The sequence below is a fragment of the Homo sapiens genome, chromosome 2, assembly GCF_000001405.40.
Source record: "Homo sapiens chromosome 2, GRCh38.p14 Primary Assembly".
NCBI lineage: Eukaryota > Metazoa > Chordata > Mammalia > Primates > Hominidae > Homo > Homo sapiens.
The window spans coordinates 3,126,350-3,153,355 of record NC_000002.12 but is presented as its reverse complement, the minus strand read 5'-3'; the positions used below and the strand labels follow the sequence as shown (position 1 = coordinate 3,153,355).

The 27,006-nt window shown below is 50.5% G+C and overlaps 1 long non-coding RNA gene across 2 annotated transcripts in view, besides 4 other annotated features; it reads left to right on the top strand.

The window, feature by feature from the left end:
• LOC107985840 (uncharacterized) overlaps positions 1 to 23,319 on the top strand; it is a 57,332-nt gene extending 34,013 nt beyond the window's left edge. The window contains exons 3-4 of one of the 2 annotated variants that reach the window (XR_001739257.1): positions 21,190 to 22,838; positions 23,113 to 23,319. This is a non-coding gene — a long non-coding RNA (uncharacterized LOC107985840). Of the gene's footprint in view, positions 1 to 21,189; positions 22,937 to 23,112 lie in introns of those variants that run through there. The other variant, XR_007086194.1, reaches the window with a different exon arrangement.
• Positions 1,494 to 1,553: an enhancer, noted in NCBI's record as "active region_15223". NCBI's record gives its function as "activates an Ori minimal core promoter by ATAC-STARR-seq in GM12878 lymphoblastoid cells {active_cell/tissue: GM12878}" and the evidence as "EXISTENCE:reporter gene assay evidence [ECO:0000049][PMID:35858748]".
• Positions 1,564 to 1,823: an enhancer, noted in NCBI's record as "active region_15222". NCBI's record gives its function as "activates an Ori minimal core promoter by ATAC-STARR-seq in GM12878 lymphoblastoid cells {active_cell/tissue: GM12878}" and the evidence as "EXISTENCE:reporter gene assay evidence [ECO:0000049][PMID:35858748]".
• Positions 1,834 to 1,903: an enhancer, noted in NCBI's record as "active region_15221". NCBI's record gives its function as "activates an Ori minimal core promoter by ATAC-STARR-seq in GM12878 lymphoblastoid cells {active_cell/tissue: GM12878}" and the evidence as "EXISTENCE:reporter gene assay evidence [ECO:0000049][PMID:35858748]".
• Positions 25,785 to 25,949: a silencer, noted in NCBI's record as "fragment chr2:3131179-3131343 (GRCh37/hg19 assembly coordinates)". NCBI's record gives its function as "represses an EF-1alpha promoter that drives an FKBP-Casp9 reporter gene in an ReSE screen in K562 erythroleukemia cells {active_cell/tissue: K562}" and the evidence as "EXISTENCE:reporter gene assay evidence [ECO:0000049][PMID:32094911]".

The following is a 27,006-nucleotide window of genomic DNA, read 5'->3' as shown; positions in this document are numbered from 1 at the left end:
TATATATATATATATATATATATATATATATATATATATATATAAACAATTTCTTTACCCAGTTGTTGATTGATGGGCATTTGGGTTGGTTCCACTATTTTGCACTTGTGAATTGTGCTGCTGTAAACATGCGTGTGCAAGTATCTTTTTCGTGTGACTTATTTTCCTCTGGGTAGACACCCAGTAGTGGGATTGCTGGATCAAATGGTAGTTCTACTTTTAGCTCTTTAAGGAATCTCCACAGTGTTTTCCATAGTGGCTGTACTAGTTTACATTCCCACCAGCAGTGTAGAAGTGTTCCCTGTTCACCACATCCACGCCAACATCTACCGTTTTTTTTTTAATTTTTTGATTATAGCCATTCTTGCAGGAGTAAGGTGGTATTGCATTGTGGTTTTGATTTGCATTTCCCTGATAAATAGTGATGCTGACCATTTTTTCATGTTTGTTGGCCATTTGTATATCTTCTTTTCAGAAGTGTCTATTCATGTTCTTAGCCCACTTTCTGATGGGATTGTTTGTTTTTTCTTACTGATTTGTTTGAGTTCGTTGTAGATTCTGGATATTAGTCCTTTGTCAGATGTATAGATTGTGAAGATTTTCTCCCACTCTGTGGGTTGTCTGTTTACTCTGCTGACTGTTCCTTTTGCTGTGCAAAAGCTCTTTAGTTTAATTAGGCCCCAGCTATTTGTCTTTGTTTTTTTTTGCATTTGCCCTTTGGTTCTTGGTCATGAAATCCTTGCCCAAGCCAATGTCTAGAAGAGTTTTTCCAATGTTATCTTCTAGAGTCCTTATAGTTTCTGGTCTTAGGTTTAATTCTTTAATCCATCTTGAGTTGATTTTTGTATAAGATGAGAGATGAGGATCCAGTTTCATTCTCCTACATGTGGTTTGTCAATTATCCCAGAACCATTTGTTGAAAAGGGTGTCCTTTCCCCACTTTGTGTTTTTGATTGCTTTGTCGAAGATCAGTTGGCTGTTAAGTATTTGGGTTTATTTCTGGATTCTCTATTCTGTTCCTTTGGTCTATGTGCCTACTTTACACCAGTACCATGCTGTTTTGGTGACTATGGACTTCACTTCTTGTATCATTTTTTGGATTTCCTTGCATTGGACTTCGCCTTTCTCTGGTCCCTCTCTGATTAGCTGAATAACTAACCTCCTGAATTCTTTTTCAGGTGAATCAGGGATTTCTTCTTGGTTTGGATCCATTGCTGGTGAGTTAGTGTGATTTTTGGGGGGGTGTTAAAGAGCCTTGTTTTGTCATATTACCAGAGCTGGTTTTCTGGTTCCTTCTCATTTGGGTAGTCTCTATCAGAGGGAAGGTCTAGGGCTCAAGGCTGTTATTCAGATTCTTTTGTCCCATGGGGTGTTTCTTTGATGTAGTTAGTACTCTCCGCCTTTTCCTATGGATGTGGCTTCCTGTGAGGCGAGATGCTGTGATTATTAACTCTCTTCTGGGTCTAACCACCCAGCACATCTACCCGGCTTCAAGCTGGCAGTGGGGGTTGTCTGCACAGTGTCCTGTGATGTGAACCATCTGTGGGTCTCTCAGCCGTGGATACCAGCACCTGTTCTGGTGGAGGTGGCAGGGGGGTGAAAAGGGCTCTGTGAGGGTTCTTAGCTTTGGTGGTTTAATGTTCTATTTTTGTGCTGGTTGGCCTCCTGATGGGAGGTGGTGCTTTCCAGAGAGCATCAGCTGTGGTAGTATGGGGAGGAACAGGTGGTGGGCAGGGCCCCAGAACTCCCAAGAGTATATGCTCTTTGTCTTCAGGTACCAGAGTGGATAGGGAAGGCCCATCAGGTGGGGGCAGGGCTAGGCATGTCTGAGCTCAGACTCTCCTTGGTTGGGTCTTGCTGTGGTTGCTTTGGGGGATGGGGGTGAGGTTCCCAGGTCAATGGAGTGGTGAATCTAGGAGGATTATGGCTGCCTCTGCTGAGTCATGGAGGTTGTCAGGGAAGTAGGAGAGAGCCAGCAGTTACAGGCCTCATCCAACTCCCATGCAGTCTGAAGGGCTGGTCTCACTCCCACTGTGGCCCCACTAACAGCACCGAGTCTGTTTCCAGGCAGTGGGCGAGCAGGGCTGAGAACTCGCCCCAGGCTACCCACCACCCCCTAGCTGCAAAAGCAATTAGGGCTTTCATTCTTCCCCCGCCTGTGGAGTCTATACACCAGCTCTCACCCTCCCCTGAGTTCTGGCCAGGAGGCTTCTCGCCTGGTTCAAATTGTTACAAAGTTCGGCTGGAGAATTCCTTCTCCCTGTTGCATTTCCCCCGCCCTGCACCTCCGGTCACCCTGCCAAAAGATCCTTGTGTTGCCACGTAGGAATGGGCTGCTTGGGGACCCAGCGAGCTCCCAGGGCCTTTCCCGCTGCTTCCTCTACCCCTGTATTTCGCTCTGCTCTCTAAATTGACTCAACTCCAGGTAAGGTTGGAAACTTCTCTCGAAAACTAGACCTTCAGTTTCCCCAGTGGGGGTGTGTGCTCGGGGGCGGAGGATCTTCCTTTCCCATTTCCACTGTTGGGGCACTCACAGTATTTGGGGTGTCTCCCAGGTCCTGCAGCTGTCTGCTTCCTTCAGAGGGTCGGTGGGTCCTCTTGGGATTCCTGGTTTGTTCTGGATCTAAACTTAATGATGTGAGCCTCCACACACTGCTCAATCCATCTGAGTCGGAGCTGCAATCTAGTCCTGACTCCCATCTGCCACGATGATCCACGATGCTCTTTTTTCAAAAAAAAAAAAAGAAAGAAAAATCTTTTTAGAGTGAGGGTCTTGTTCTGCCACCCAGGCTAAAATGCAGTTGTATGGTCATCACTCACTGCAGCCTCAAATTCCTGGACTCAATTGATCCTCCTGCCTCAGCCTCCCAAGTAGCTGGGACTACAGGCGCGCACCACCATGCCCAGCTAATATTTAAAATTTTTATTTAATTTTTTCTTGTAGAGATGGAGTCTCGCTATGTTGCCCAGGCTGGTTTTGAACTCCTGGCTCAAGCCATCTTCCCACCTTGGCCTCCCAAATCACTGGAGTTACAAGCATGAGCCACTGCACCCGGTCAGGACATTCTCACATTAGTCCTTATGGATCGTAGTCTGCCCTTGAAAATACTAAAATTATAGTCCTTTGAGAAGAGTTTCCAACTATGGCTTTTCACTTTCACACACATTGTCCCTACTCCCCTCCAGGCCCCGACACTGATCTGATTTTGTGAGGTTTAAGTGGACCTGTTTTTGAGCGTTTTGTAGCATATTGCTGGGATGGAGTGGGAGGGTTGGAAGTGGTGAGGAACGTTTTCCTGCAGGTCAGCTAAATCAGCCAAACTCATGTTTACAGATCGCTTAATAAAAGTCAAAGTGAAACCACCTCACTGGATCCCTCAGAGAAAAGAAATGCAGATTTGTTTTACTTGGACAACCTAATATTTGAATAAAAACATCTCCGAAGTCCTTGCCCAGTCACTAAGATGGCAATGGCCAGGTCTGCGGGAAACTGTCCCAGGCAACCTTCTGGGGCCTGTGCCTTGAGTAGACAGCTGGCCCTGAGCTCTTGGCCACTCGAGCCATCTCCAGGACCCCCTTGGCAGGAACGTCCAGGAGTCAGCACCTTGAGTACACTCGAGCCCCAAGTTCTGTTGCAGAAAAGGCTCTGTGTGCTGTCATCTCAGCTGCTGGGGCATCGCCCAGGCTGTCAGGGGTCAGGGTTCCCCCAAGCCCAGGTGTGCCCAGGTCAGGCATCTCTGGAAAGACCACATGCTGGCTATGGGTAGACACCCTGAGGGACTGGGCATGCCCACGGGGGCCGGACCCTGCAGACTGGGTGCGTCTCCCTCTGGCTCCCACCCCAGGAGAAGGTTTCCATGGAGTCGCAGCACTTTTCCTAGCAGGGGCAGGGGCTGGGGAAGGTCCGGCCCCACCTGGCTCAGGACAATGCCTCTTGGTGACAACATGGTCTTCATGCTTGGTCCCCCCACTTTTTCGTGACTGGTCCACATTGGCTCAAAGAAGCTTCCCTCTCATGGGAGAGACTTGGTGGAACAACACTGGAAATATGGGCAGGGGCAGGAGGGGCTTTATAATCCATCAAGATAGGAATCTCAGTGCCTAATTTCTAGTAAATAAACAGTTGTCTTTGCAATAAGGTATAAATTCCTTTACAATTAATTTTTTAAATTCACCAAGTGCTGCTACAGAGTCGATCTTATGTATCAACTCAGCAAACAGGTTCCAGGTGGGTAAAGGACACGTGGATTCCCCATGTGTGGGTGAGCCTGGTGCCCAGCCGCCCATGTTCGCCATGCTAGCCACGCGGCCTCCTCGTCCCGGCCCCTCCCCATCCATCTCCGGCTGCTCCCTGAGCCCACGCCTCCTCCAGGGCTGGCTGCCAGGGGTCTCTGCCCCAGCTGCAGGGGTGGTGTTTCCCTAGTGCGAAACGCGTGACACCCAGGGTTTCACACATGGCTATGTCGGTCTCCTCAGCTGTGTTGCAGGCAGAGGCAGTTCTTTTGAGCCCTTCTCAGTGCCTGTGCACCCTGCGGGGGTCCAGCACGGCACCTGTGCCCTGGATGCTCAAGGTAAGTGACAGTTCCCGCTCATCCTGAGCAGCCTCAGGCCTTTCCGTGGCTGTGCTCATCCATATCTGTCTCCGTGGCATCAGCCTTTCCGTGCGTGTCCTTTGCCAGCTACACTGCTCTTGGAATGAGGCAGGGTGTAAACAACTGCAGTAAATACAGAGGTTGCCTGGAGTCCTTGCTAAGGGACAGTGAGGTAGCATTGTTTCCAGGCCTCCCTTGAGTGAGCTGACTGGGGTCCCAGGAGGAGGGAATGAGGAACAGTGGGCTTTCTAGAGTTGGGGCATCTGAGGGTGAGTCTGACTGTGGGGAAGGATGAGGGTAGTAAGGGACAGGGGACATGCTAAGTCAGCATGGCAGGACCTCCAGGAAGCCAGCATGGCTCTGAGATGGATGAGGGCGGGCTGTGTTTGGCAAGTGAGAATAGCAGCCTGGGTGGTCACGTGGCCAGAGCCCTGTGTGCCAAGGCTGCAGTGGCAGAAGCGAGGAAGCAGCCACCTACGTGGGAACGTGCGTCCTGTGCCAGGCTCGGAGCCCCGGGCTTCTTATGCACTGCCCTTTACTCCCCACTGTGCCTGCGTGAGATCAGGGATGCCCCTGTCTCTATCTGCAGGGATTGGGGAATCCGTTGCCTGCCCGAGGTGGGGCAGCGGGGGAGCTGCTGGGTGGCCCTGTGGGCGCCTGCGGCTCCGCGGTGTCCTCCGGCCTCTGAAGCACTGCCGCATCCAGGCCTGCTCTGCACTGACTACTGTGGAGGCGGCACTGCCCACAGGACAGCGGCAGTGACCGCAAAGGAAGAGAGGAGGAGGGTAAGGGCGGTTCCATGGAGAATGAGGACGTCATGATTATTTAAGGAGAACAAAAAATATGTGTGCCACCTGCGAACACCCGTCCTTCATCCGCACGGCCGCTGCCTGTCTGTCCTTCCGTTCAGCAGGAGGGGCCTTGTGCTGGGTCTGGTGCCGGTGCCAGGGCCGGGGACGCTGGGGTGACAGCCCAGCCTTCAGGAAGGTCTTCGGTGGGAATGGAGAAAGCCGGAGTCTTCACCAGCGAGCCGGCCCTGCTTCCCTTCACTCCCTGGGACAGATACTCCGGGAAGCTGGGATGAGCAGGGCTTTCCCCACGGCAGGCGTTCTCGTGTTTCATGGGATGGCGGCAGAGTGGCATCAGGGCAGAGAGGTTTGACTGCAGCCAAGTGCGTTTGCAGCATCCCTTACTTACTATTCCCCAGCCGGGGTCTGGGCCTCTTGGTTTCAGGTGATGATGCACCTCCCGGAAAGTCTGGGTTTCTTGTCTAGAAAGGAGAGGCAGAGACCTGGCAAGCCAGTCTCCCCGAGGTCTCCTTTCTGTCCTGGTGTCTGGGGGCTCCCGGCACAGCCAAAGTGTGGCCTGTGGCTGCCACTGTCCTCCGAGGACCAGCCCTAGTGCATGAAGAAGCCAGCTGCAGCCACGGTGGTCCTTGGGGTGGGCCCAGCTCCCCGAGGAGCTCCATGTGCACCCACTGGGGCAGCTCCCGGCGCATCCGTCTTCCCCAGAGAGGACGATGAGGCAATGCCTATTCCAGGGATGTTTTCCACAGTAAATCTGAGTCCGGCTCCGTGAGATTGAAGTCCCTGGGAGTGAGGCTCTGGGGCGGCTTGACCGACTCCAGCAGAGTAAATCCCCAGAGTGGATGACGACTTTCCAGCTGGAAATGGAGCAGGATCTAACCAGGAAGAGGAATGGCAACTACTCAGCCGGACTCAGCAGCGGGCAGGAGCCTCCGAGGGCACAGGTCAGGGCCAGGGCTCAGAGAGTGCCATGGTGATCGATGAGGACTTCCTGGGGGCGAGAGGGCTGGTGAGGCTGGGCCAGGGCTCAGAGAGTGCCGTGGTGATTGATGAGGACATCCTGGGGGCGAGAGGGCTGGTGAGGTTGGGCCAGGCCTCAGAGAGTGCCGTGGTGATCGCTGAGGACATCCTGGGGGCGAGAGGGCTGGTGAGGTTGGACGCATCTGAGGCCGCATTTGTTCATTTATTTATGCTGGGCTTCATTTCACTAAGGATTCAACATGGCTTATAGAGAACATAGCGTAAAACAAATAAAGGAGAGGGCACTAGGCCTAAAGGTTTTCAGCCAGAAGAGGTAGAGGTCAGAGGGGAAATGCAGGAAAAACCCTCTTATTCTCTTCTTTATTAGATGTCAGTGATGACAAACGCATCCGAAGCTTTTAATATGTCAGGCGCTGTTCTCAGCACTTTAGGAACATTCTCTGATTTAATCCTAAGAGGTCAATGTCATTCTCATTTGACAGCGGAGGCACAGAGAGGCTCACACAGCTGCCCCAGGCCACACAGTGAGAGGGGTGGAGCCGGGGTTTCTGCCTAGCAGCTGTTGCTGGTCCCCACCACCTCCCCAGGGCGAGCTCCCTGGGCAGGAAGAAGCGCTTGGCCACAGGGTCCCACCCTTTCCAACCAAGTGACTCGTAGAATAGCACCTCCTAAATGTTGACATGAATGAGTGAGTCCAGGTCCTGCTTTGGAATCAGGATGTACTGAGTGGCTTTTGCTGAGATGGTAGTGCGATCATTCTACTAACAGTGATAGCTTCCAGCCGTTGAGGGCCTGCTGAATACAGAATTTTACAGAAGTGGATTCTATTAATTTCCCCAACAGCCCTGGGAGGTGTGTACAATTACAATCCTTTGACCGCAAAGGAGACTGAGTCTCCGTGAGGTTAATGAGGCGTTCCAGGTCATGGAATTGCGTGTGGCAGAGCTGGGATCGTATCTGGCAACTGTGTCTGTTCTCCTGCTGCTTCCCAGGACTGGGCCCATGTCAAAGGGGCCTTTCCTCTGTGGGCCTCAGGCCGTGTGCCACCAGGAAGGAAGGATGTGGGGGAATAGACCCAGCTCTGTGTGAAGGACAGGCGGGTGGTGGCTGCCTGCAGGTGGCAGCCCGAGGGCCTGGTCCCAAAGGCCGGTGACGCCTTCTCACCTGCATCCGCTCCTCCAGCCCAGGCTGGCGGTGACTGCTCTGATCACTACGTGCTGTGAAGGGCACGGTGCCAGCCTCTGATCTGGGTCCTTGCTGCCATATGAAGACACCCACCTACCCTGCTGGAGAGGGGCTCTGGAGGGCCAGGGAGAGAGAGGATAGCTGGGCTCCAGTCGGTGCCCCATCCAGAGCCCACAGACAGGACAAAGCCATCCCGGGCCCTCCAGCCCCCGTTGGCCATCGCAGCACACGCCACCTGCACAAAGGTAAGCCCTATCCGGGCTCCTGGCCTCAGGGTGGTGAGCAGTAGACCAGTTGTATTAAGCCTCTGACTTTGCAGGGCTTCCTAATGGAGACCATTCACCGCCCGGTAAGTGACCTAGTGACCTAGCGGAGAACACGCAGGCAGCTTCAGGACTGCTAGGGCTGGAGCCAGACGGGATTGGGACGGGGTGGCTGAGTAGAGCAGTTCAGAACCCGCTAAGTGTGGGCTCAGAGGGGAGAACAGGTTGAAAGATCCTAGAGGAGTGGCAGAAACGTCAGAGGAATCAGAAAAGCACCTCCTAGGGCTGTTCTACAGGATCAAGGGAAAGGAGAGTTTGCCTTCAAACGGCTGTTTGTTTAAAATAGGAAAGCATAAAACCAGGCTCTGACAGGAGAAGAAACGGCAGCAGATGAGCTCGGCCAAATGCTTAAAATGGTCCCAACCACAGGCTCCAGCCACAGACCATGTGGGCCGAGAACCACGGGAAGGGGGTCCACTAGCTGCTGGGCACTGGATTACAGGTCTTCAGGGGTGTGAGGGGAGCAAAGTGGGAGAAACCCACCAGCATCACCACCCGTGTTCCTTTAGGTCAGGGTGCTGGGTCCAGTCCTGATTCCATCTTCTTACAAGTTAGGGAGCTGGGTCCAGGCCTGGATCCATGTTATTATGAATCAGGAAGTTGGGTCCAGGCCTGGCTCCATGTTCCTGCAGGTCAGGGCAGGTCTTCCCCCGAGTGATGGCTCTTGGACTGTGCTCCTCTGGGGCCCTCTCAACTCTGTGTCTGTCATCTGTCACCTGCCTGGCCATTATGGTTTTGATGGCAGTGGATGGGCTCCATGGGACTTCAGGCCTGGGGTGAGACTCAGGACCCTGGGGTGAGCATGGATGGGGATATTGGACCCCTGAAAGAAGGGAAGCTGAGAGACTTTTTTTCCTTTAAAGACTTTTCCATGTTATCTCCACTCAGAGAATTCTTTTCTGCAAAGTCACGGGAGGGAGGTGACATTGAGCCCTCCAATGTGACAGAAACTGTGCTGGGAACTTTACATGTGTTACCTAATTTGTTTAATTATCCCAGCAACTCCACAAAGTAGGCATTTTTATTGTTGAGGAAACAGAAGCTTAGAGACTTTGTGAGACTTGCCCGAGACCCCAGGTCACACACCAGCAAGGATGAGGTCAAGCTTTTAATCCAGGTCTGCCTGGCTCCAAGTCCACACCCTTTCACAACAATGAACTTTCTTTATGATTGCAGATATTATTTGGGGAACTTTACATAAAACATTGACTTACATAAAACTTCAACCATAGACTATATTCTTTGTTTTGGAAACTGTGAAGACTCAAATTTTTTATAAACTCAGAACAGCTTCCAGTTTTCTCTAGATATCGGAAGATGGGCTGTGTTTTTTGTCTGTTGTCCAGTGAGGCTGATTCGTAGTCAGACAGGTGAGTCAATTTGGTTGGAGTAGGCTATTGTGGTTCTCTCTCATCAGGAAAGAGGGGATGCACTTGGCCCCTCAACTCCAAGTTGGTGGTGCGATGATTTTTCCATATTCTCCCTTAACAGGCTGTGAGGGAGTCTGGGCCAGGCACTAGGCCATGAGCAGGGCAGACTGGGGTAAACCCTTAGCGAGCCTCTCTCCAGCCACGAGGAAACCTGGAGTGTGTGCGTGCCTGTGTGCTGCTGGTGTGTGTGTGTGAATGCACACGTGTGTGCATGCACTGTGAGCTGGTGTGTGCATGTGCACTGGTGTGTGCGTTCGTGTGTGTGTGTGCATGTGTGTGCTGGGTGCACACATGCATATGTCTCTGTGTATACATGTGTATGTGTGCCAGTGGGTGCATGTGTTTGTACAGTGTGCGTGTGTGTGTGTGTTTGTGCACATGAGCTGCTGCACACATATAAGCCTTGTGAATTAGGGGAAGAAGAAAGGCTCCGGCTTACAGAAAAAAAAGGAAAACTCCTACAGAGATAATTATCATTAAAATGCCAAGGCTGTACACGTGAGCTGCACTGCTTTCCCTGAAAGGGCCAGTCTGCCGCCTTTTCTTTTGCTCCCTCTTACAGCGACAGCCAAGCGAATGGAGCTGCGTGGCCTGCTGGGGCTGGTGCCCGACTTCTGGCAAGGAGCAAGTTTGGTGGAAGCCAGAGCCAAGCTTTTCTCCTTGTTGACCTTGGCAATACAGGCTCAGATGCCCATTTTCCTGGAGGAGCCGCATGCAATGCCCTTGTTAGCTGGCTGCGGCCTTTCACCGCAGTCCCCAGACACTACTCAGGGCACTGAGCTGTTGGATGCTGCTCCCATGGGGACCCTGGCTGGGACCCATTCTCAGGGCTATCTGCCAGGGAGAGACGTGGTTGTTGCTGTCCTTGTTTACCAAGAAGAAAGCAGAGGCATAAACCAGCAAGGTCATGCAGTCTGGGAGGGGTGGGGCTGCCCCGGACAGCCTCCAGGCTTCTCCCAAGCAAGCGCTGTCCTTGGGGCGTGTGCCCAGGGTGAGGCGTGTGCACACATGTGCGTGTGTGTGCGTGTGAGAGGCGGCGTTGTCTGTGGGATGGTGGGGGATCTGGACTCTGCTCCACCGTCATCGGGTCATCTGGTAGAGAGCCTGCCACCCCACCTGGGAGCAGGGAGAATGTGGCAGTGCCACCCCGCCTGGGAGCAGGGAAAATGTGGTGGTGCCACCCCACCTGGGAGCAGGGAGAATGTGGCGGTGCCACCCTGCCTGGGAGCAGGGAGAATGTGGTGGTGCGTTCGGATGGAGGAGGGGGGTGTTTTCTAAGACATCTCTTCAGCCAGTGCTGACATCCTCAGGTGGCCACAGAATTGCTCAGGGACCCATATGTCTCCTTGTCTTTGAAAATCTGCTTTTGTTTGATGGCTCTAGGAGAGGAAGAATGAACTTGCTTGAGGCTGTGTGGCCCGGCCTCTCCCCTGGGACCCATGAGTCCCTGACCCAAGAAAGCGTCCCTGTGCAGGGCTGGGCACAGAGGTTCCCTGGAGAGGCCCAATGCTCTCCTTCTGCAGCGGGGACAGGAATGAGTCCTGTCTTAGTCATGCCCCTGACTCCCTCTGAGACCTGAGAGTGGGGCCCACCTGCAGGCCCAGACGCCCTCTGTGGGAGCTCTGCACGCGGGCCCATTCGGGGCAGCCTTCATGCCAGCTTCCTGCAACCTTCTTTGCTTCTTTTTTCACCTATAACTTTCACCCTCTCAAGAGGGTGTCGCATGAGCAGTTCTGAGTTAGGCTGTCATGGTTTTCGAGCTTCTAATCTAATCAAGGTCCTCTGGATGAGTCCCTCTGAAGGGGGAGCCTCTTACAGGAGTTCACACAGAGCTGAGAACCCCAGAAACCACAGGAGTGTGGGGTAGTAGAGGAAGGCAGTGTTCTTGGATGTTTAAATAAATCTGTAACTTACTGTTGACTAGACCTAGTGTGTCATGGTGTGTAAAATTACTTAGGTAATGATTTTGCCATGTCTTACAAGAATTACAGACAATGATGACAGCAACAACAATCACAAACCACAACAATGGCAGTGGCTATGCACCAGGAACCAGGGATGCAGAGGTGACTGAGGCGCATCCCTGCCCACAGGGAGCTTGCAGTCTAAAGGGGAAGACAGCATGCACACATGACTATAACAGAGTTCTTTAGACAACGTGTGGCAGGCACCTTCGGGCTGCTCTCAGGCACGTTACTTCAACAGCCACCGTGGGGTCCCAGTGAAAGAGGAGGCCATGCCACCATCCAGGGCAGATGAGGTAGCTCAGCAAGGCAGAGACAGCAGGGTGGGTGCAGGACGGTCTGGGTTAGCAGGACATCTCTGAGAACTGATCTGGTGTTTGAAGTGGGAAGGGAGGGGTGCAATATGGCTTCTGATGGAGGTTTCTAGCTTGGAGGACTAAACGATGTAGGAAACTCAAAAGGAGATTAACATTGGTGAAGATGATTCCATGTCTATCAGCATTGATTGAGGGGCTGTGGGAGTGGACATTGGTGATAATGATTCCATGTCTATCAACATTGATTGAGGGGCTTTGGGAGATGAACATTGGTGAGTGTGATTCCATGTCTATCAGCATTGATTGAGGGGCTGTGGGACTGGACACTGGTGATAATGATTCCATGTCTACCAGCATTGATTGAGGGGCTGTGGGAGTGGACGTTGGCGATAATGATTCCATGTCTATCAGCATTGATTGAGGGCTGTGGGAGTGGACGTTGGCGATAATGATTCCATGTCTATCAGCATTGATTGAGGGCTGTGGGAGTGGACGTTGGTGATAATGATTCCATGTCTATCAGCATTGATTGAGGGCTGTGGGAGTGGACGTTGGTGATAATGATTTCATGTCTATCAGCATTGATTGAGGGCTGTGGGAGTGAACATTGGTGAAGACTATTCCATGTCTATCAGCATTGATTGAGGGCTGTGGGAGTGGATGTTGGTGATAATGATTCCATGTCTATCAGCATTGATTGAGGGGCTGTGGGAGTGGACATTGGTGAGGGCGATTCCATGTCTATCAGCGTTGATTGAGGGCTGTGGGAGTGGCTGTTGGTGATAATGATTCCATGTCTATCAGCATTGATTGAGGGGCTGTGGGAGTGGACGTTGGTGATAATGATTCCATGTCTATCAGCATTGATTGAGGGGCTGTGGGAGTGGACATTGGTGATAATGATTCCCTGTCTATCAGCATTGATTGAGGGGCTGTGGGAGTGGATGTTGGTGATAATGATTCCATGTCTATCAGCATTGATTGAGGGGCTGTGGGAGTGGATGTTGGTGATAATGATTCCATGTCTATCAGCATTGATTGAGGGGCTTTGGGAGATGAACATTGGTGAGGGCGATTCCATGTCTATCAGCATTGATTGAGGGGCTGTGGGAGTGGCTGTTGGTGATAATGATTCCATGTCTATCAGCATTGATTGAGGGGCTGTGGGAGTGGTAGTCTGTGGGTGGAAATGGTATCTAGATGTCTAGAGGGAGGATGTGAGCCATGGCCTGGAGACTGCAGCTTCTCTCCGTCACCCACAGTCTGCATTTCAGGGCCTCCTCAGGATGGTGAGAGTAGGAACTCTTCTCAACTTCGGAGCCCGTCCCTAAGACTTTGTCCATGGGAAATGTGCCTGGTAGCCCCCATAATTTATGGAGAAAGAGGTTTTCTTTGCATGAAGTTTGCATTGTAGAATGGAAAAAGAGAAAACACTATTTGATTTTTCTTTTTATTGTTGTTCTTCACTGACTACGGTGATGCTTGGGGAGGGGAAAATTTGTCTGTGTAAATGATCCTCCACGAAGGAGGAGGATTTCACAGCAGGAGGCAGATTCTTTGAGAGGGGACTTCAGAGATATTTGAATAACAGGAGCTGTGTCGAGAGCAAGACTGGAAAGCTCTGTCATCAAAGCGAATCTGGAAATTGATCAAGGCACTGCCAGCTGCGGGTTGGCGAAGGGAAGACAACTGGGAGGCTGGCAGGATTCAGCCTCCTTTGTTCTCACGATGGACATAATCTCACTAAGAAGGAGTGATTATGGAGTAATCACTTGGGGAGTGATTTTGGAGTAATCATTATTGATGAGGTGCAGTTTTGAAGGTAAAACTAGACAAAAAGCTCTAAGTTCTTGAACTCATAACTTAAATCTGTTTAGAAATCCTAGATAAGGATTTCCCAGAGTTTCTTAGTTTATGAGGGTTTTTCCTTTGTGAAGTGTATCTCATTATCATCTTAAAAGTGTTGAGGGCGTCGCCTCACGGGGAGCTCAACGTTCGTTTTTGGTGCTGTTACTGTTCCTTTCATTTTCTCACTTTCCTAGGAATTCAACGCATCAAACTTCTGTTTGGAGGCAGAAATTCCTTCAACACTGTCTCAAGGGGCTTATCCGAGGTGCCTCCTGGACACTCTTGATGAGGCACTGCTATCTCCTGGGTGTGGTAGTCAGGAGCGCAGGCTTGAAGACCTTTGCTTTTGACCTTGAATGTAGCTTTGCCACTTTGAGCCAGAAAGTGAAGTCTCAATTTCCTCATCTGTAAAATGGGGGTAATAATGATGAAATGAAATTAATTTAATTGATGCATGTAAAGTTCTTCGTACTATTCCTACTGTATAACAGACACTCTGAGAAACACACCGTCTTTCTTGTTTCCCCCACCCTGATCTATCAGCGTGCTTTTGCTCGGGGCGTGCTGTCTGAAAGACAGTCCTACACCTGAATCTTCATGGCCTGACCTTGCCAAAGGAAGTTCATAAAAGAGAGATGAAGAGGGAAATGAAGACACCTGCTGATACCACATGCATTGACATATTCATGGGCATCAGTGAGCGGGGACCAGTTTCTCATCATATTCCTCATTTCAGCTGATGGTGTGAACTTGGCTCTATCTTTTTTCTCTTCTCTCATAAAAGATGCATTTTGTGGGACAGCCAAAAAAGAAAGAGAAAAAGAAATGATCATTCTTCACTGATCATTTTCTTCTTAGAAGCCTGAGGCTGCTACAAGGCTCGCATGTCCTCCGGGGCTCTTTCTGACCCTATGGGATGTTTGGGGTCCATGACCTCAGCCCCTGCATGCTGAGTGGCTGCCTATCCTCTGAGGGGACCTGAGGTTGCTCTGCTCACACTGGAGAGGTGGTACCAAGCAGGCGTCTGCAGGAAGCCCGAGGAAACTGTGGAGTCCACCTCACAAGTTGGGATCCTGTAGTTCTCCCAGATCTGGACACATGCAGGATGCATGTGTGGTACCAACTCCAGGTGTGGCCACACTGGGGGAAGCGTGAGGGAGTGCAGGAGGTTGGTGTCTCACGGCTGTTCACAGTTGATGGCGTACGTTTGCGAATGTGTGCCAATGTGTGTTTGCATGTGTGTGAATGTGCATGTGTGTGGCATGCTGTGTGGCGTGTGTGAGTGAATTCATGCATTTGATTATGTGCATGTGTGAATTCATGTGTGTGAATGAGGATGTGTGTTGTGAATATATATGTGTGAATGTGCGTGCCTGTGTGTGTGCGAATGTGCATGTGTGTGGCACGATATGTGGTATGTGTGAGTGAATGCATGTGTATGTAACTGAGGGTGTGTCTGTGTGTGAATGTGTGCATGTGTGTGCATATGTAAATGTGTGTGTTACTGTGTGACTGTGTATGACTGAATGTGTGTGAATGTGTGCATGTGTGTAGATCTGTGTGTGACTGTGAATGTACGTGTGTTAATGTGGCTGTGTGTGCATGTGTGACTGAGTGTGTCTATGTGCATGTGTGTGAATGTGTGTGTGACTGAGAGTGTGAGTGTGAATGTGCATGTGTGTGACCATGTGTGACTGTGAGAGTGTATGTATGAATGGGTGTGTGACTGTGTCCGTGTGTGAATGTATGAGTATGTATGAGAATGTGCATGTATGTGAATGTGTTTATGTGTTGCTGTGTATGACTCTGTGAATGTGTGTTAATGTGTGCATGTGTGTAGATTGTGTGGCTGTGACTGTGTGAATGTACATGTGTGTTAATGTGGCTGTGTGCATGTGTGTGACCGTGTGTGACTGTGAGTGTGTGAATGTGTGTGGCTGTGTGTGACTGAGAGTGTGTGAATATGCATGTGTGTGAATGTGTGTGGCTGAGTTGAATGTGAGAATGCACGTGTGAATGTGTATGTGTGTGAATATGTACGTGTGTGAATGTGCATGTGTGTGCATGCATGTGTGATTGTGACTGAGAGTGCATGTGTGAATGTGTGTGGCTGTGTGTGACTGTGATTGTGTGTGAATGTGTGTGTGTGAATGTGTGTGTGTGAATGTGTGTGGCTGTGTGTGTGACTGTGACAGTGTGTGCATGTGTGTGGCTGAGTGTGACTGTGAGCATGCACGTGTGAATGTGTATGTGTGTGCATGTGTAGGGGGTGTCATGGACAGGGGATTCCTTCTGCTCAGCCTCAGGGTATTAGATTTGGACTTTTGGTCTCATCTTCAAATGAAGGTCTCTGTCCTGCATGCTGGTCCTCTCTTCCCTCTGTCCTGTGGGCGTGGCTCCTGCCCTTGGTAGAATTTGCACAGCACCCACTCTTTCTGTTGATTTCAGGCTCCCCATGAAAGTCATTCACTCTCTCCTAGGAAAGAACTGAGTTTTAAAAGGTCACACATGTGTGTGTCAGTCTGAGCCACTCTGGGTTAGTCATCAAGGAGAATTGAATGATATGAGATCAAGCTGCAGGAGGGGCACCAAGGACCTGGAACCCGCATTTTATTTTAACATTATAATTTGGTGTCATATTTAAAATGCTAGTTCTCAGGGGATGGTGCATTTTTCTCAAGTTTTCATAAAGAAACAAAAATAGAAAAAAAAGAAGTATAACTTGTAGCTTGATTTGCGTTTGTTTGGTAAAATATCCTGATTTAGTTCACAAGAAATATTCACGGTAAAAGCAAAGGAAAGCGCCCCCAGTGAACATTAATGGATGTTTGCATGCATAGCAACTAAGCCTTTGTCCTCGGATCCGTCCGTCTCAAAATGGGTGGGAGCCACGGGGAGAGGACAGGAAGACAAAAGAGGAATAAAGCTGATTGCATTACCTGGACAAAATTCAATCAATGTGCAGCTTCAATACTGGCTGCTGCATTCAGATTGCTGCTGTTAAAAAACAGCCGTGGCCAGGCGTGGTGGCTCACGCCTGTAATCCCAGCACTTTGGGAGGCCGAGGCGGGCAGATCACGAGGTCAGGAGATCGAGATCATCCCGGCCAGCATGGTGAAACGCAGTCTCTACTAAAAATACAAAAATTAGCCTGGTGTGGTGGTGCGTGCCTGTAATCCCAGCTACTTGGGAGGCTGAGGCAGAAGAATTGCTTGAACCAGGAAGTCGGAGGTTGCAGTGGGCCGAGATTGCGCCACTGCACTCCAGTCTGGCAACAGGGCGAGACTCCATCTCAAAACAACAACAAAGACAACAGCAACAACAACAAACCCAGCCTTATGGGGATGTAATTTACATGCCATAAAAGTCACCTGTTTTAAGTGTACAGTTCAATGAACTTTAGGCTGTTTAAAGAGGGCACAACCATCACCACCCTCTAATTTTGGGACCTGCAGTCACCCTGTGATGACGCCTCATTCTGACACCCAGTCCTAGGTAATTATTATTAGTTTTGAGACAGAGTCTCCCTCTGTCGCCCAGGCTGGAGTGCAGTGGGTTAATCATGGTTCACTGCAGCCTTGACCTCGCTGGGCTCAGGTGATCCTCCTGCCTCAGCCCCCCTAGTAGCTGGGACCATAGGCAGGCACACACCACCATGCCCAGCTAATTTTTATATTTTTTGTAGATGTGAGGTTGCCCAGGCTGGTTTCAAACTCCTGCCTTGGCCTCCCCAAAGTGATCCTTCTGCCTTGGCCTCCCCAAAGTGCTGGGATTACAGATGTGAGCCACAGCACCTAACTCTTAGGTAATTACTAATCCACGTTTGGTCTCTCGCGATTTGTTTTTTTTTTTTTTGACACTTGAAATAAATTAAATGACCCACTATGTCTTCTTTTGTGTCTGCTTCTTTCAGATAATGCAGTGTTTTCAAGGTTTATCCACGTGGTAGTGGATGTCAGCATTTCCTTCTTTTTTATAGTCAATTAATGTTCCATTTCATAGATATACCACATCCTGTTTACCACATCACCACTTGATGGCCATTTGGATTGTTTTCACTTTTTGGCTGTTGTGAATAATGCTGCTATGGACATCTGTGTGTGAGAGTCTGTCTGGACATACACCTTCATTTCTCGTGAGCACATACCTAGGAGCTGAACTGCTGAGTCATGTGGTAGCTATGCTGAAAATCGTTTTGATCCAGCAATCCCACTACGGGGTATCTACCCAGAGGAAAAGAAGTCATCATACGAAAAAGATACTTGCACACGCGTGTTTACAGCAGCACAATTCGCAATTGCAAAATAGTGGAGACAGCCCAAATGCCCATCAATCAACGAGTGGATAAAGAAACTGTGTATGTATATATACATATATATACACACACACACACATATATACACATATACATATATATACATATATACACATATATACATATACATATACATATATATATATATTTATGATGGAATACTACTCAGCCATAAAAAGGAATGAATTAACGACATTTGCAGAGACCTGGATGAGATTGGAGACTATTATTCTAAGTGAAGTAACTCAGGAATGGAAAACCAAACATTGTATGTTCTCACTCATAAGTGGGAGCCAAGCTATGAGGATGTAAAGGTATAACAAGGATACGATGGACTTAGGGGACTTGCAGGGGAAATGGTGAGATGGGGATGAGGGATAAAAGACCACAAATTGGGTTCAGTGTTTACTGCTCTGATGATGGATGCATCAGAATCTCACAAATCACCACCAAAGAACTTACTCAGCTGGGCGTGGTGGCTCATGCCTGTAATCCCAGCACTTTGGGAGGCAGAGGTGGGCAGATAACCTGAGATCAGGAGTTCGAGACCAGCTTGGCAAACATGGTGAAACCCTATCTCTACTAAAAATACAAAAATTAGCCGGGCATGGTGGCAGGCACCTGTAATCCCAGCTACTTAGGAGGCTGAGACAGGAGAATCGCTTGAACCTAGGAGGCAGAGATTGCAGTGAGCCGAGATCGTGCTGCTTAACTCCAGCCTGGGTGACAGAGCAAGACTATGTCTCAAAAAAAAAAAAAAAGATTAAAAACTTACTCATGTAACCAAATACCACCTGTTCCCCCAAAACTGATGGAAATAAAAAGTTAAAAAAATAAAAATAAAATAAAATTATTGTCATGAAAAAAATGTGCCAAACTGTTTTCCAAAGTGGCAGTGCCATTTTACATTCCCACCAGTAGCATATGAGGGTTCCAGTTTCCCGTTGTCCTTGCCAACACTTGTTGTTTTCCTCTTTTTTTGCTAATAGCCATCCGAGTGGGTGTGAAGTGGAGTTTCTCCGTGATTGGATTTGCCTTTCCCTGATGGCTAATGATGTCAAGAATCTTCTAGTGTGCTTGTTGGCCATCGGTGATTATGTCGAGCACCTTCTCGTGTGCTTGTTGGCCATTGGTGATGATGTCAAGCATCTTCTTGTGTGCTTGCTGGCCATCGGTGATTATGTTGAGCACCTTCTCGTGCTTGTTGGCCATTGGTGATGATGTCAAGCATCTTCTTGTGTGCTTCTTGGCCATCGGTGATGATGTTGGCACCTTGTGCTTCTTGGCCATCGGTGATGATGTCGAGCGTCTTCTCATGTGCTTCTTGGCCATCGCTATGCCCACCCTGGTCAGGTTTTCTTTTTTAAAGTTCCCTGAACATGGTGCCCTTCACGCCCCACTGTGGTTGCATTTTTCCATCTGGCTGTGAAGTGCAGAAGCTGCCACTGTGCCTCAGCGGGCTCCTTTGTCACCAACTGCCCCGTGGCAGCTGCCAGCAGGAAGGGAGCTGGTGGTGGAGTCATCCCGGCAGGGTGTCCAGCTGGCCACTGGGAGCTGGCAGCAGATTGGGCACTGCTGGCTTGGCTGTTACCTTCCCTCCCACCTGGGCCACTTAATGGTATTGGACAGCAACTAACAACCTTACAGCTCCTGCTCAAAAAGTGACTTTCCACATGGGATGCCACATGCTTTTCTCAGTAGGCTGTAAGCTAATGGTGACTCTCACCCATTTTCTGCAGAAGAAACCTGAAGCTTGTCCAAAGTTGCTCAACAACCTGACCATACCTGGCTTTCTTTTTCTGGTACATACTTTTATTGTGGCATAATATACATAACATACGATTTTCCATTTTGACTTTTTTAAGCGTACAGTTCAGTGGCATTAAGCATGTTCATGGTGCTGTGCAAACATTGCAACTATCCATTTCCAGGGTTTTTTCATCTTGCAAAATTGGAACTCTGTCCCCACTCAACACGAAGTCCTCATGCTTCCCCCTCCCCCAGCCCCTGGCACCCACCCTTCCACTTTCTGTCTCTATGAATCTGAGTATGTGGGTACTGCATGTAAGTGGAATCACACAGTATTTGTCCTTTGGGGTCTGGTTTATTTCACTTAGCATGATGTCCTCAAGCTTCATCCCTGGTGTAGCACATGTCAGATTTCCCTTCCTTTTCTGAAGCTGAATAATATTCCACTGTGTGTCTATGCCACGTGTTGCTTATCTGTTCACACACTGACGACACTTGGGCCGTCGACACCTTTTGGCTGTTGTTAATATGCTGCTATGAACGCGGAGTGCAGATGTCTGTTTGAGACCCTGATTTCAGTTCTCTTTCAAAAATTCCCAGAAGTGGGATTGGTGATCAGAACAACACTCATGTTTGGTTTTTGAGGAGCCGCGATACTGGCTTCCATGGTGACACAATTTCACATTCCCACCAGCAATGCAGGAAGGATCCAGACACGACTTCCTTCTTAGAAGTGGAAAGAAAAGATAGAAATGGGCCACAGCTCAGGACCTCAGGATTTCAGGATTCGCCGTTTGAGCTCAGCTATGTGAGCTCAGGGACTCTGCCGAGGACAGTGGGACTCTGAGGGCAAGGGGACACCAGTGTGGCTGGTGAGTGTCATGGGTGCCCTTGGATAACAAAGCGGCAGGTGTGTGAGAGGGAGTGGCACTGCCATGCTGTAGCCAATGACAGGTCAGCTCTGACCCATCGCTTCGCGATGGGAAGTTCACTCCCTCGTGGTCAGCGGATGTCACTGATTAGCTGCCCAATTGTTACCTCCCCACTTTCCCTTCCAAAGAGACGGCAGTTCTGCTCAGGTGGATGGGATGGTAGGACCAGGTGTGCCCATTCACGGGATGATCGGCCAGGCTCTGAGGGTCCCCTGACCCTGCTTCCTCCCTGCACAGGGACAGGTGCTTCCACTCTTCCACTCCCCTCTGGGCCGGGGGGCCATGGGAAGTGTGAGGGTGGGGTGTGGATTTGCGGGGTTGAAGTGGAATCCAGGATCTGCCTGGGGCATACTCTTCACAGCCTAGGCAGGGCAGGCAAACCCCAATTTCCTGGAAAGCAGGCCTGGGTAGGGCCGCCCGGGGCTGGCAGAGTGAAGTCCTCGAGTCCTCTGCCAAGGGTGCTGTGTCTGGGCTGTGGTTGTCATCTGCATATTTAGAAGGAAAGGCAGGGGTTAAAATATCCCTTTGTCTGCTGAGAGGGTCTGTGGTCTCTCCATCCTTCCTTTGATTTAATAAGAAAGATAAACACTGCACAGCGAGTGCTCCCGTGCTAGACAGGTGCTAAGCCCCCCGAAGACGCTGCCGTTCACCAGCTCACTCGTTTAATTTCAGGTTTAAACAGCTATTGGAATATAGGAAAGTCTGCGGATCACAGTGGAGGGTTTTATATTTTATTCTTCTCTCCAGATCCGGCAGGCACCGGGAGCCGGCTGGCAGGTACCTCTGAGCACACTGGATTAATTCCCAGGGCGGCCGTCACAGCAGTGACGTTGGCACTGACCACCCACGGAAAGGACAGAATTTAAAGAGGCTGAGTTTTTCATCTCTCTCTGCTGTTTTCTCTCTGGTTTCCCTTTTACCATTTTGACAAGTCCCACCATACTCAGTTCCAGCCTGGGACACACACTTGTGATTGCTAACGGGTGGAAAGTTGCACGTGCCATGTTGTGTTGCTGACACCAAAGGCAAAAGCCCAGGTCCTGGCCCCAGGTTAGGCCCACACATGCCTGGGCTGTCCCATCTCGGGGACTCCCTGGTCAGAGCTGAAAGTCTTCGGGCTCTGTCTCCCTCGCTGGGGAGTGTGTCCAGCCCTGTCCTCTAGCACTGGGCCCCTGTCTCCCCAGACACGGCCCCCAGGGCGGAGGGGACCACAGACATTCTGAGGTGAACTCTCCTCCGTGTTGGAAATATGAAAAATAAAAAGGGAAGGGCTGGGGGAAGAGACGGGGCATTGTTTACTTCCTCAAAATTCCATGTTAACGAGTTCCCGCTGAATTCTCTGGTTAAGCAGAGAACGGCTGTGCAGAGCGTGAGCTGTGAGCCCCAAGCTGGTCCTCCTGTGGGCCCCGCAGCGCTGGAGCTGACCTCTCACCAAGGGTCCCTTTGTAACTTCCTGTGACTGATTCTTTAATGGCATCTAATGATGATGCAAGGAAGCTGCCAGCTGGGAGTTTCGGCACCACTGATTGCCCCCATAAGGAGCCAGTGGGATGGACACCAGCTCCTGCCCCTTGCCTGAAACATCCCTGCAGACCCTCGGCCTGCACCGGTGCCCCACTGAAGGCCCCCACCTACGGTTCTGCCCACACACCAGGGTCTCTCCAGCTCACCACCACCCAGGGTCCTTCCAGCTCTCCTCCCCCAGGGTCCTTCAAGCTCTCTCCCTCCAGGGTCCCTCCAGCTTTCCCTGCTCTAGGTTCCCTCCAGTTCTCCTCCCCCAGGGTCCCTCCCGCTTCCCCACTTAACCTCCCCGGGGTCCCTGCAGCTCGGGCTTCCGCCCCCGGGGTCCCTCCAGCTGGGTTTTCTCTTGCACCCTGGGGCCTGGTGCTCCACCCCTCTCTGTCCACTTCCTGCCTCCAGGCTGTGTCCGAGCTCTGTGCACCTGACACCCACGTCTCCCCTCTTCATCTGTCTAAAGCCTACCTGTGCTTTCACAGCACGTCTCAAATATCATTTCAAATGTCAAATAACAGAATGATCTTTTAAAAATATAAATCAGATCATGTCATTTGTGCTTGAAACCTTTAATGGTTTCTGATTGCACAGTAAACCCAAGGCCCTTCTCTGGGGTCCAGGTCCCTGCCCACCTCAGTCCTTGTCCCCCTGTCCCCTTCACCACCAAGTTTATCCCTGCCCTAGGGATGTGGCACTTGCCATAGCTTTGCAGGAATGGCTTTCCCTGGTTCTGCATGTGGCAAACTCTGTCTTGACACCCACGTCTCAGTTTAAATATCACAGAATCTGCAGGAGAGCTTCTGTGCCCCCGGATCTGAGGCAGCCCCTTCAGGAGCAGAATTACAGCCCTAAAGACGTCCGTGCCCCAGTTGCTGGCACCTGTGAGTATGTTATGCTTTGTGGCAACAGGGGCTTTGCAGAAGGAATGGAGGTTACAAAGTTTAAGCTTTCCTGGTTTACCTGTGGGGGCCCAGCATAATTACAAATGTTCTTAGATGTGGAAGGGAGAGGCGGGAGGAAGAAGCAGCGTGGGTCCACATGAGATGCATGGACGGCTGTTGCTGGCTTTGGTGGTGGAGGAAGGGGCCGAGAGCTGAGGAATGGGGTTCACAGGAGCAGAAAGCATCCCTCAGCAAGGGAACCTCCGTCCTGCAGCTACAGGAGCTGAATTCTGCCAACGACCCACACAAGCTGGAAACAGACACCCCCAGGGCCTCTAGAAGGAAGGCAGCTGGCAGACTGGGGACCCCTAGAAATGGTAGGATAACACACTCGTGCAGTTTCAGCTGCTGAGCATGTGGTTATGGCAGCCACAGAAAATGAATACAGCCCATTCGCTCTTTTTTTTTTTTTTTTTTTCCAGACATGGTTTCACTCTGTCACCCAGGCTGGGGTGCAGTGGTAAGATCACGGCTCAGTGCAGCCTAAGCCTTCTGGGCTCAAGTGATCCTCCTGCTTCAGGCTCCCAGGTAGCTGGGACTACAGGTGCGTGCCACCATGCCTAGCTAATTTTTTTTAATGTTAGTCATTATTTATATTGAAAAATGAAACCTGAAAGGCACTGGATTCAGTCGTAATATGTCCAGATATTCTTTTTTTTTTTAAATTTACTTTAAGTTCTGGATTACATGTGCAGAACGTGCAGGTTTGTTACATGGGTATGCATGTGCCATGGTGGTTTGCTGCACCCATCATCCCGTCATCTAGGTTTTAAGCCCCGCATGCATTAGGTATTTGTCCTAATGCTCTCCCTCCCCTTGCCTCCCACCCCCTGACGGGCCCCAGTGTGTGATGTTCCCCTCCCTGTGTCCATGTGTTCTCATTGTTCAACTCCCACTTATGAGTGAGAACATGGGGTGTTCGGTTTTCTGTTCCTGTGCAGGGACATGGATGAAGCTGGAAACCAGCTATTTTTTTTTTTTTTTTAGACAGAGTCTCACTCTGTCACCCAGGCTGGAGTGCAGTGGTGCGATCTTGGCTCACTGTAACCTCCACCTCCCGGGTTCAAGCAACTCTCCTACCTCAGCCTCCTGAGTAGCTGGGACTACAGGCGCACACCACCATGCCTGGCTAACTTTTTGTATTTTTAGTAGAGATGAGGTTTCACCGTGTTAGCCAGAATTGTCTTGATCTCCTGACCTCATGATCCGCCTGTCTCGACCTCCCAAAGTGCTGGGATTACAGACGTGAGCCACCTCACCTGGCCTGAAACCAGCTAATTTTTAAATTGTTTGTAGAGATGGGGTTTCACCCTATTGCCCAGGCTGGTCATGAACTCTTGGAGGCAAGCAGTCTGCCCGCCTTGACCTCCCAAAGTGCTGGGATTACAGATGTGAGCCACTGTGCCCGGCTCCCATGACTCCTTAATCAGATCAGCTTATTCTGTCATCCTCACAGCTTCTGTCATTTTCTGGCCTGAAAGTGATGTTTCCCCTGACATGCTATGGCCCGGATAAACCTTGCGGACATCACGCTAAGTGGTGCAGGCGAAGTCATTCGTCACAGAAGGACAAATACTGTGGAATTCCACTTCCTGTGAGGTCCCTGGCATAGTTAAACTCTTAGCAACATAAAGTAGAATGGTGGGTGCCAGGGCAGTGGGGGAAGGGTGTTTCTGGGGGTTGTTTAATGGATCCCTAGTTTCAGATTTGCCGGATGAAAAGTTCCAGTAGTGTGTGTAGAGCCAGCCCTGCTGCACTCCACACTTAAGATCCTAAGTTTATGTTATATAGATATATGTTTAAACCAGGGCAAAGGTGGTCTTCTCTTGCATTCTCGTGTGTCTCCCAGTGCCCTCCTGGCACCCCAACTGAAACATCAACTTCGAGCAGGGTCTCATCTGCCTTGGTCATGTGATACGGTTTGGCTGTGTCCCCACCCGAATCTCAACTTGAATTGTATCTCCCAGAATTCCCACATGTTGTGGGAGGGACCCAGGGAGAGGTTATTTAACAAAATATATTAATTCACATATAAATTAATATGATTTGTGAAACCTCTTTCTAACATCTCAAATATATTTACTAATGAGAAAAATCTTTTTTTAAATTGTCAAAACCTGTGTCTCAACTTTTGGCTCAAAAACTGCAGTCCTGCTGTCTGCAGTGGCTTTGTGAGTTGCCTTAGGGAAGAACCAAGCAGGGAGGACAGACCCTGCAGACCAGGCTGGGGTGAGGGTGTGGCTCTTGTCTCCTGGCCCCCACATGTTCAAGAAGAAGGTGCTGGGGCCTCATCTTGGCCCTTTGCCTCTTGCCTCTGCACTGTTCCCTTAGGATGGATCTGGGACAGAGCTAATGGAGGCTCTTCTGGCGTGTCCTGAGGACTTTGGCTCAATCTTGGTGAGTTTAGCTCCTCTGAGTTCTTCTTAATTCTCCTTGGGGGCCAGTAGTTGCAGATGGCTAGGAGAAGGTGGGGCAGCTCTGGTGCTCTCTGCACTGAGGAAGCACTCCTGCTGCCCTGTGCGTGCTGCTGTGGATGCTGAGTGCAGTCTGGACAGGGTTGCCAGCCAGGGCTCCAGGTGTTCCCTTCCTGTACGTGTGATCAGCTCCTCCACCACAGGAAATGCTCCCAGTCACCCACCTCCCACCCTCCACCCTCCACCCTCCACCCTCCGTCCTCCACCCTCCACTGCAGTTCTTCCCAGCTTCATTTGCGGCTGCCCAGGGAATAATTCCAGGGATATAGTAATGTCTGGTGTCTGGACGGTCTCCATGGGATTAAAAAAGTAGCTGGTTTGCATTTCGGAGACAAAACAACCCTGCAGCACGGAGTCAAACACTGCTTCTTCGCGGGAGATGCGTCCTGTCAGGTGAACACCAGCAAATCAAAACCCAATTCAGCAGAGGGATGATTTTCGCCTTCCGGAAGATGAAATCACGAAAGCTCAGAGACGGCGCGCACTCCGTAGAAAGCCCAAATCAAATTATTCTGTGGCCTGTGTAGATTTCCTGTGCCTGGCACCCAGCTGCCTGCATACAGGAAGTGCTCATTACAGGCACAGCAGCAGATGTCAGCCCCAAAGTGTCCATTTTACTAGCTGGTGTTTCAGCATCTGTCACGGGGATCAACAAAGCATGACAGCCGCCAATGTGCCTCCGTGTGGACTTTTGTGATGCTGTATTTTCTCTTGAGAGGGGCCCCTGATTCTGGACAGAATGCACTGGGTAAGTCTTTACGACTTCGTAGCCCCAGGCTCCTGGCCCAGGCAGGATGAGGAAAGGATGCTGCCCCAGGATCGCCCGAAACGTTTGGTTTGTTTTGTGTGGCTGGACGTGGCCGAGTCCCTGCGGCCCCAGCAGCTCTCAGGCTTCCCTGCCCGGCTGCTGCCTCAGGGCTGCGCTGAGCTCAGGCCAGAGCAGCTTCCAGGGCCTCATTTCAGTTGTTTTTATCATCTATGAGTTATCCAGTGTTTCCAATAAATCACATTCCAGGGCAAGCAGTGCAGAGATGTGGGCCCTTATTTCCTCTCCCAGGCTGATAACAATGAACAAGTGATTTCCTGTCCAAAGCTGGGTACTCCAGCGAAATAAGAAGTCCTATCTCCAGGAAAATAACACTGTCTCTCTCTCAGCCCCAACTCCAGCACACCAAGCATGGACCGTCTCTGGCCCTTGGGCAAGCTGGAGCAGCCTTTCATTTCCTCTCTGCCTATTCATGCACGCCCCACCCATCTCCCAGTCCAGGCTGTGATCCTCACCACCCAGCAAGCAGGCGAGGCAGGGCTAGGAACCCATTTTACAGGTGAGAAAAGTGAGTTTGCCAGACATTAAGTGACATGGCCAGGGTCTCACCGGCAGTAAGTGGACAGGGCCAGGCCAGGTCGTCTCTGTGTTCCTAGGAGACCCTGTGATGACCACTCAGCCCCCTCTGCTGCTGCTGGTTGAGGTGAGAGGTGCTTATAACTCAGAGATCTTTGTCATTTGGGTTCTAAAAGCAAACTCCACCTTGTGACGCGCACCCCAATCCGCCAGCAGCTTCAGAAGCAGCATCTACCTGTAAGCTGCGCGGTCTCCCTCTCCCATCTCAACAACCTTCCTGTGTGCGGCTTCC